Source organism: Homo sapiens, chromosome 5 (genome assembly GCF_000001405.40).
Source record: "Homo sapiens chromosome 5, GRCh38.p14 Primary Assembly".
Classification (NCBI taxonomy): Eukaryota; Metazoa; Chordata; class Mammalia; order Primates; family Hominidae; genus Homo; species Homo sapiens.
This window is the reverse complement of record NC_000005.10, coordinates 69,207,694-69,217,749: the sequence shown is the minus strand read 5'-3', so window position 1 is coordinate 69,217,749 and position 10,056 is coordinate 69,207,694. Positions and strand designations below refer to the sequence as shown.

The 10,056-nt window shown below is 44.2% G+C and overlaps 1 protein-coding gene across 1 annotated transcript in view, besides 1 other annotated feature; it reads right to left on the bottom strand.

The window, feature by feature from the left end:
* Positions 5,392-5,601: an enhancer, noted in NCBI's record as "active region_22641". NCBI's record gives its function as "activates an Ori minimal core promoter by ATAC-STARR-seq in GM12878 lymphoblastoid cells {active_cell/tissue: GM12878}" and the evidence as "EXISTENCE:reporter gene assay evidence [ECO:0000049][PMID:35858748]".
* Positions 7,393-10,056, bottom strand: part of CENPH (centromere protein H) — a 20,775-nt gene continuing 18,111 nt past the window's right edge. The window contains exons 8-9 of the mRNA NM_022909.4: positions 9,391-9,554; positions 7,393-8,043 (exon numbers count right to left, since the gene is read on the bottom strand). Of these exons, the coding sequence (NP_075060.1) occupies positions 7,951-8,043; positions 9,391-9,554 (257 nt within the window). The 3' untranslated portion in view covers positions 7,393-7,950. The remainder of the gene's footprint in view (positions 8,044-9,390; positions 9,555-10,056) is intronic.

Here is a 10,056-nt window from a genome sequence, read left to right as displayed (position 1 = left end):
TCCCGGGACGTCACGGAGGCGGAGACCGGACTGGGCTCTCCTCCGCCGTGGGGCTGGCTCCGCCCCCTGTGCCTGACCCCGCCCACCCCTTCTCCCTACTAGGATCCACCCACGTGTGTTCTATTGTTTCGTTTTGGGGACAAAATTTTGTTAAGGTGGGTCTCTGCTCATTAGCCTATAAATTGTCTAGGACCATTTCCTTTCCAGAAAGCCAGTCTATAATTTCGATATAGTTCAAAATTTTATCTGGAACCAAATAAATAATACAACCTTCTTATCTGACAGCTCTTGCAAAGATTAAAAAAATTAAAGAAAAACAAAAAAAAAACCTTGCGGTTTCCTAAAATGAATAATTTCGTTAAAATGGGAGTTAGTGGCAAGCTCACAAGAGTTTACTCTGGCTTAAAAAGGGCCATGTCACACTCTCTTGCTGATTGGCATTGCTTGATTGTAATTTGTTTCTGTTTTCTTTACCGTTTATTACTCCTGATATCGAACTGCTGGGCCTTTGCTTCAAGTTGAGATAACTCAAAAATTCAGAAATATTTGAAATGTAAGCCACTCATATCTTTCCCCCAAAATTACATTACGGGCGGGGCGCTATGGCTCACGCCTGTAATGCCAGCACTTTGGGAGGCTGAGGCGGGCGGATCACTTGAGGTCAGGAGTTCGACACCAGACTGGCCAACATTGTAAAACCCTGTCTCTACTAAAAATACAAAAATTAGCCGGGCGTGGTGGCGGGCGCCTGTAGTCCCAGCTACTCAGGAGGTGAGGCAGGAGAATTGCTTGAACCCAGAAGGCAGAGGTTGCAGTAAGCCGAGAGTGTGCCACTGCACTCCGGCCTGAGCGACAGAGGGAGACTCCGTCTCAAAAAAAAAAAAAGTTACATTACGTTCTGTGATAATGCTTAGGTTATATATAGTATTGTAAGCTTGACCAATGTGTTTGATGATATACATCAGTGATTTCTAAGTCTTGGGATCTTTTTAGAAATATAAATTACTGAACCCAGGTATGGTCTATTGGGATTCAGTGACTACAGAGAGGCCATTAACCCGTTTTGTTTTGTTTTGTTTTTGTGGTTTTTTTTTTTTTTTTTGAGACGGAGTCTCGCTCTGTTGCCCAGCCTGGAGTGCTGTGGCGTGATCTCAGGTCACTGCAACCTTTGCCTCCTGGATTCAAGCAATTCTCCAGCCTCAGCCTCCCCAGTAGCTGGGATTACAGACGCCCGCCACCACGCCTGGCTAATTTTTGTATTTTTGGTAGAGACAGAGTTTCACCATATTGGCCAGACTAATCTCCAACTCCTGGCCTCAAGTGATCCACCCACCTCAGCCTCCCTAAGTGCTGGTATTACAGGCGTGAGCCACTGCGCCTGGCCCCATTTTAATTATTTTCAAATGTGCAGTTCAGTCACATTAAGTACATTCACATTGTTGGGCAATTGTTACCATCTTCAGAAACTGTACCCATTAAACAAAAACTTATTCCTCCTTCCCTCAGCCTCTGACAACTATCATTTTACTTTCTGTCTATGAATTTGACTACTGTGGGTACTTAATGTACGTGGAGCCATAACAGTATTTGTCCTTTTGTAATTAGCTTGTTTCACTTAGCATGTCTTCAGAGTTCATTCATGTTGTAGAATGTGTCAGAATTTCTTTTTTAAGGCTGAAAAAATCCCATTATATGTGTATACCACATTTTGCTTATCCATTCATCTGTGGTAATTCTTTTTTTTTTTGAGACAGAGTCTTGCTCTGTCACCCAGGCTGGAGTGCAGTGGTGCCAACTCGGCTCACTGCAAGCTCCGCCTCCCTGGTTCACACCATTCTCCCACCTCAGCCTCCCAGGTAGCTGGGACTACAGGCACCCGCCACCACACCAGGCTAATTTTTTTTGTATTTTTAGTAGAGACAGGGTTTCACTGTGTTAGCCAGGATAGTCTCCATCTCCTGACCTCGTGATCTGCCCGCCTCAGCCTCCCAAAGTGCTGGGATTACAGGTGTGAGCCACCGTGCCCAGCCGATAATTTTTTTTTTTTTTTGAGACAGAGTCTCGCTGTGACACCCAGGCTGGATGCAGTGGCATGATCTCAGCTCAATGCAACCTCTGCCTCCTGGGTTCAACTGATTCTCCTGCCTCATCCTCCTGAGTGGCTGGGATTACAGGTGCCCACCACCACGCCCAGCTAATTTTTGTATTTTTAGTAGAGACAGGGTTTCTCCGTGTTGGCCAGAATGATCTCAAACTCCTGACCTCAGGTGATCCGCCCACCTTGGCCTCCCAAAGTGCTGGGATTACAGGTGTGAGCCACCGCACCTGGCCCAGTTCAATGCTTTTTAGAAAATTTTCATTTGAGACTCCTTTGACCTATGCCTCATTTAAAAGTGTGTTCAGTTTCCAAGTATTTGGAAATTTTCCTGTTATCTGACTGTTACTGATTCCTCATTTGATTCCCTTGTAGTCAGAACACAGTCTGTATAATTTCAATTCTTTTATATTTGTTGATATTTTGTCATCCAGGATATGGTCTATGTTGTTTATGTTCTGTAAGCACTTGAAAAGAGTGTTCTGCTGTTGTTTGGTGGAGTATTCTATAAATGTTGATTAGCTCCTCTGTTAGTCCATGTGTGCTACTGTAACAAAATACCTTAGTATGGGTAATTTATAACCACAGAAATTTATTTCTCATGTTCAGGAGGCTCAAAAGTCTAAGATCAAAGTACCAGCAGTTTCGGTGTTTTGTGAGGGCTCAGTCTTTTCTTCCAAGATGGTGCTTTGAACACTGCTTCATCCGAGGGGTTTAACACTGTGTGCTCACATGGCAGAAGGGCAGAAGAGAAGGAACCCATTCCCTCAAACTTTTTTTTTTTTTTTTTTTGAGACAGTCTTGTTCTGTCACCCAGGCTGGAGTGCAGTGGCACAATCTCGGCTCACTGCAACCTCCATCTCCTGGGTTCAAGCGATTCTCCTGTTGCAGCCTCCCAAGTAGCTGGGATTACAGGCGCCCTCTACCACACCCAGCTAATTTTTGTATTTTTAGTAGAGATGGGGTTTTGCCATGTTGGACAGGCTGGCTTTGAACTCCTGACCTCAGGTGATCGGCCCACTTTGGCCGCCCAAAATGCTGGGATTACAGGTGTGAGCCATTGTGCCTGGCCCTCAAACCTTTTTTTAAGGGCCTTAATCTCATCCATGATGGTTCTGTACTCATGATTTAATCATTTCCAATACCTTTTCGTATTGTCACATTAGCAATTTTCAATAGATGAATTTTGAAGGACACAGTCAGACCATAGCTTACCGCCTTTGGCCCCCCAAATTTATGTCCTACTCACATGCAAAATACATTTATCGGACGCTTGTTGCTCACACCTGTAATCCCAGCACTTTGGGAGGCTGAGGCAGACGGATCACTTGAGGTCACGAATTCCAGGCCAGCCTGGCCAACACGGTGAAACCCTGTCTCTACTAAAAATAAAAAAAATTAGCTGAGCGTGGTGGTGTATGCCTATAATCCCAGCTACTTGGAAGCCGAGGCATGAGAATTGCTTGAACCTGGGAGGCGGAAGTTGTTCACAGTGAGCCAAGATCGTACCACTGCACTTCAGCCTGGGGGACAAAGGGAAACACTGTCTCAAAAGACAAACAAAAAAAACCCAAAAATACATTTATCCATCCCAGTAGCCCCAAAAGTCTCAACTCATTCCAGCACCAACTCAAAACTATAAAGTCCAGAGTCTCACCTAAATCAGATATGGATGAGACTCAAGGCCATGACTCATCCTGAGGCAACTTCTCCTGCAGCTGTGAGCCTGTGAAATCAAATACATGTGCTTCCAAAACACAATGATGGGTCAGGAACAGGACTGACATTCCCATTCCAAGAGGGAGAAATAGGCAAGAAGAAAGGAGTAATAGGTCCCAAGTAAGTTAAAAACCCAAAAGGCCAACAACATTAACTCTTGAAGCTTGAGAATAATTCTTGACTCAGTATCTTGCCTTCAGGATGCATTGGGCTGGGGGTTGGACCCCCAAAGCCCCGGGGCAGCCCTACCCCATGGTTTTGATGGGCACAGTTCCAACCCAGCAGCTCTCAGCAGTTGAAGAGAGGTACCTGGGCTCTCTCAGGCAAGTATTGCATGCTGATGGCTCTACAGGTCTGGAGTCTGCCCTCCATACAGGGGTGGCCCTGCCATACAGCTCTGTAACAGCCTTTTATTGTTAGCCTTAGATAGCAGACAACTACCACTGAGGTTTTTTGAGATGGAGTCTCGCTGTCACCCAGGCTGGAGTGCAGTGGCACGATCTCGGCTCACTGCAAGCTCCGCCTCCCGGATTCACGCCATTCTCCTGCCTCAGCCTCTGGAGTAGCTGGTACTACAGGCGCCCGCCACCACACCCAGCTAATTTTTTGTATTTTTAGTACAGACAAGGTTTCACCGTATTAGCCAGGATGGTCTCAATCTCCAGACCTCATGATCTGCCTGCCTCAGCCTCCCAAAAGTGCTGGGATTATAGGCGTGAGCCACCGCACCCAGTTTTTGTTTTTGTTTTGAGACAGGGTCTCTGTCACCCAGGCTGGAGCACACTGGCACCATTATAGCTCATTGCAGCCTCAAACTCCCCAGTTCAAGCAGTTCTTCTGCCCCAGCCTCCTGAGCAGCTGGGACTACAGGCACATACCACCATGCCCAGATCACTGAGTTTGTTAGTGATACGATGTCATCTTAGCAGGTTAGTTCTTCTGTCCTTTTTGTAGAATATAATCCATGGGTAGGTTTTCTGGCCTTAGAAAATGTATCTACTCCATATAAAGAAAAAAAAACACATAGATAATATATCTACTGCAAGCCTGGGGACAGTGGCTCATCCCTGTAATCTCAGCACGTTGGGAGGCTGAGGCAGGCAGATCTCTTGAGATCAGGAGTTTGAGACCAGCCTGGCCAACATGGTAAAACCCCATGTCTACTAAAAATACAAAAAAATTAGCCGGGCCGGGCATGGTGGCTCACACCTGTAATCCCAGCACTTTGGGAGGCCAAGCCAGATGGATCAGCTGAGGTCAGGAGTTCAAGACCAGTCCGGCCAACATGGTGAAACCCTGTCTCTACTAAAACTACAAAAATTAGCCGGGCACAGTGCCGCATGCCTGATTATAATTCCAGCTACTTGGGAGGCTGAGGCAGGAGAATGGCTTGAACCCAGGAGGCAGAGGTTGCAGTGAGCTGAGATTGAGATTGTGCCACTGCATTCCAGCCTGGGCAACAGAGTGAGATTCTGTCTCAAAAAAAAAAAAAAAAAAAAAAAAAAAAAGCCAGACATGGTGGTGTGCACCTGTAGTCCCAGCTACTCAGGAGGTTAAGGCAGGAGAATCCCTTGAACCTGAGATGTGGAGGTTGCAGTGAGCTGAGATGGCACCATTGCACTTCAGCCTGGGAAACACAGTGACTCCGTCTCAAAAAAACAAAAACAAAACCAAAACCAAGACTGTGACTGTTGTACACGTAAAAAGATCTGTGTCCCCAACTTCAGAAAGCTGCTCAGAAGGACATACTCTCTAATGCCCTCTTCAGAGATATGGCTGACATTGATAATGAAAAAGGTAGAACCTCCCCACTGGCAGAGTGAAGAATCTGGATGAAGTGCCTCCAGAAAACAACACAAGAGCCTCATCAGTGTCATTCCCTATCCTCTAGGAAGGGGAATCTCCTATCATTTGCCAAGTAATACTTAAGATTTTGGCTGGGTGTGCTGGCTCACACCTGTAATTCCAGCACCACAGGAGGCTGAGGTGGGTAGACGGCTTTAACCTAGGAGTTCGAGACCAGCCAGGAAAACAAAGTGAGACCCTATCTCTACCAAAAAAAAAAAAAAAAATTGCTACAGACTGCAGACCTATTCCACTATTGCTTGCTGGATGTGTGAGGTGATACAATTTGTCTGAAAAGTTCACAGGTCTCTAGATGAAGGGCCACATCTGGACCTGATATGAAAGACTGAACTTTGAAAAAAATGTAACAATTGGATGACACTATTAGCTTATTTCTTGTCTTCCTTGGGAAGTGTCTTTTGCAGGCAGAATGCAGAAAGGATTCTGCATTCTGCATGAAAGGATGCAGAAAGGATTCTTGGTCATATTTATGACCAAGATAGCTGAGTTTAATAAATTATATTCTTTCAGTAAAATACCCACTTTCTCCAACTCTGAAATCCACCACTCCCCTGCAATGGGAGAAGTATACTTTCCTGCCTCAATGACGTTGGGTTTTGTCAATGTCAGCCTCTTTCAAACAGAAACTTTAATCATACTGGTATAATTGGACTTGACGTCATAAGCTCCTGCCCTGTGCCATGAGAACATTTCAGATTGTGGTTGTTCCCTCAGCCTGAGTCCTAGAATTATCAGCTGAAGGACAGACCCAAAACAGAAATGTCTGTTATAAGCCACTGAGACTTGGGGTTATTATTCAGCATGATTTTAAGAAAAGCTAATACAATTTCTCTCTCAGAATTGATCCTTAAGAAGGAACTTGGCCAGGTGAGGTGGCTCACACCTGTAATTCCAGCACTTTGGGAGGCCAAGGTGGGTGGACTGCTTGAGCTCAAGAGTTTGAGGACCAGCCTGGGCAACGTGGCAAAATCCCATCTCTATCAAAAACACAAAATTAGCCAGGCATGGTGGCACGTGCCTGTACAGGTCCCAGCTACTAGGGAGGCTGAGGCAGGATAATTGCTTGAACCCAGGAGGTGGAGGTTGCAGTGAGCTGAGATCGTGCCATACTGCCCTCTAACCTGGGCAAAAGAGCCAGACTCCGTCTCAAAAAAAAAAAAAAAAAAAAAGAAAAAGAAAAGAAAACAAATGCTAGCATCATTTCAAGTTTCAAGTCCTTCTAAAAAGAATGTTGAGGCCGGGTGCAGTGGCTCATGCCTGTAATCTTAGCAGTCTGGGAGGCTGAGGTGGTCAGATAATTTGAGGTCAGGAGCTCGAGACCTGCCTGACCAACATGGTGAAACCACCGTCTCAACTGAAAATACAAAAAATTAGCTGGGCATGGTGGGCCACACCTGTAATCTCAGCTACTCAGGGGGCTTAGGCATGAGGATTGCTTGAACCCAGGAGGTGGAGGTTGCAGTGAGCTGAAATAGCACTAGTGCATGCCAGCCTGGGTAACAGAGCGAGCCTCTATCTCAAGGGGAAAAAAAAATGTTGAAAATACTACATTAGCTGTAAAAATGTTCAACAGCTCCAAATTAATAAAGTGTTCAAATTAGAGTTTTTCAAAAACGGATTGCGATGCTATAAAAAGTGACAAGTTCTATTTTATAATTACTAAGAGTACTACTGTTTGTAAAGGGCACGAATTAAAAAAAAATAAGACAGAGTAACATTAATTCCTTTTATTTCTTAACTTATAAAACTGATAGAAAAAAAATGCAAACTAGACCAGGCTCGGTGGCTTACGTCTGTAATCCTAGCACTTCGGTAGGCCGAGGCGGTGGACTGCCTGAGCTCAGGAGTTCTGAGAGCAGCCTGGGCAACACGGTGAAACCCCGTCTCTACTAAAATACAAAAAATTAGCTGGGCATGGCGGCGTGCACCTTTAGTCACAGCTACTTGGGAGGCTGAGGCAGAACTGCTTGAACCCGGGAGGCAGAGGTTGCAGTGAGCCGAGATCGCGCCACTGCCCTCCAGTCTGGGCAACAAAGCGAGACTCCATCTCAAAAAACAACAACAACAAAAAAACAAACTAAATATAGAAATATAAAAAGAAAAAAATTACTTTCAATCCCACTACAAATAACTAACCACAACTGTACTACAACTGTAAACGTTATGGATATGCTTTTCTAAAATTACGGTGGACAGACAAATGCACAGAAGTATTCCAAATAAGAGTTGAGATTGCCAGAAATGTAAAATATGTCAGAAATGAATTCTTATTACATCATGTCAACATTCTTCTCAAGCTGCAGAACAATTTCCTTAAGGGCAGGATCCTCTGCCCAATTGACTTTACTCCCCAAAATAAGGTTCTGTAAAGAAAAAAAATTGTTTTAAAGTTACAAGTACTTTAAAAATTTAACAAGATTTTAGAATATCATTTTTCATGAATCTTATCAAGTAATTAACATTTACTACATGTGTAGCTCTGTGATCATAAGAAAAAAATGATAATACATTCTTCTATTTTTTTTTTTTGAGTCGGAGTCTTGCTCTGTGTCACCCAGGCTGGAGTGCAATGGTGCGGTCTTCAGCTCACTGCAACCTCCGCCTCCCGGGTTCAAGCAACTCTCCTGCCTCAGCCTCCCGAGTAGCTGGGATTACAGGCGCCCACCACCACACCCGGCTAATTTTTGTATTTTTAGTAGAGACAGGGTTTCAACGTATTGGCTCAGCTGGTCTCTTGGCCAGGCTGGCCTCAAACTCCTGACCTCATGATCCACCCGCCTTGGCCTCCCAAACTGCTGGGATTACAGGCATAAGCCACCACACCCAGCAGCATTCTTCTACTTTCATTTCCACTTTTAGTAAGGCTTTAGCCTTGATCTCCATAATGTTAGGGAATATTTACAATGTTTACAATAATTTTTTATGCCTCGTCAGTTTCCATGGATAGGTTTTACTTGTTAAAAATACTTGCAGCGTGCTGGGTGCGGTGGCTCAAGCCTGTAATCCCGGCACTTTGGGAGGCTGAGGCAGGTGGATCACCTGACATCGGAGTTCGAGACCAGCCTGGCCAACATGGCGAAACCCCATCTCTACCAAAAAACACAAAAATTAGCCAGGTGTGGTGGCAGATGCCTATAATCCCAGCTACTCAGGAGGCTGAGGCAGGAGAATCGCTTGAACCCAGGAGGAGGTTGCAATGGACCGAGATCATGCCACTGCACTCCAGCCTGGGCTACAGAGCAAGACTGCGTCTGAAAAAAGAAAAAAGAAAAATCAAGACCTTAAACATTAAGTATACACACATTCCAGATATATACAAACAGACCAATATTAAACATTGAATTATTTCATCAAGATCAAAAACTAGCTGAAAGTTAAGTCAATACTGTATGATAGCATCATCAAATAGTTGGCCAGGCGCAGTGGCTCATGCCTGTAATCCCAGCACTTTGGGAGGCTGAGGCAGACGGATCACCTAAGGTGAGGGGTTTGAGACCAGCCTAGCCAACATGGTGAAACCCCGTCTCTACTAAAAATTAAAAAATTAGCCGGGCATGGTGGTGGACGCCTGTAATCCCAGCTACTCAGGAGGCTGAGACAGGAGAATTGCTTGAACCAGGAGGCGGAGTTTGCAATGAGCTGAGATCGAGCCACTTCACTCCAGCCTGGGCAACAAGATTAAAACTCTTGCTAGTTTATATAAATGTTACCTGGAACACATGTTGAATAACAGTAGTAATTTTTATCTCCATCTGTAGGTTTTGTCGTATGATCTTTATCCTCTCTGAGTTTTCCATACTGTCCAAATCAATCTTCTGTTTGTTCTTTTCAGTCTGTATTTCTAAAAGCTTACTTTCTGAAGCTTGTTTTAATTCTGTTAGGTTAAAAATAAAATAATATACCATATATAATACCTCTATAAACAAGGATCTTGAAAAATTATGAAGCAGATCACTTCTTGGTTATTTTAGTCAAGAGAAAAATTTTAATAAGCAGCATTTTAGGTTGCAACTTTATTACGATCTGAAAATGACTTCCCTGGTGCAAAATAACAATATTTTAATTTCGTACTTAGCAATGCCCTTAGTGAAATGTTCCAGGTATTTCTGTATGACAATAACAGCTGTCTACAGATGTTTCAAGTGGCATCATGTAATGAGGGCTTATTTTGGGTTGCCAAAATAGGTAGGAAATACATATATTTTTCCCTCTTAAATTACAAAAATGAAACATATAAACATTTATTTTATTATTATTTTTTGAGATGGAGTCTCACTGTTGCCTAGGCTGGAGTGCAGTGGTACAATCTCGGCTCACTGCAGCCTCCGCCTCCCAGGGGTTCAAGTGATTCTCCTGCCTCAGCGTCCTGAATAGCT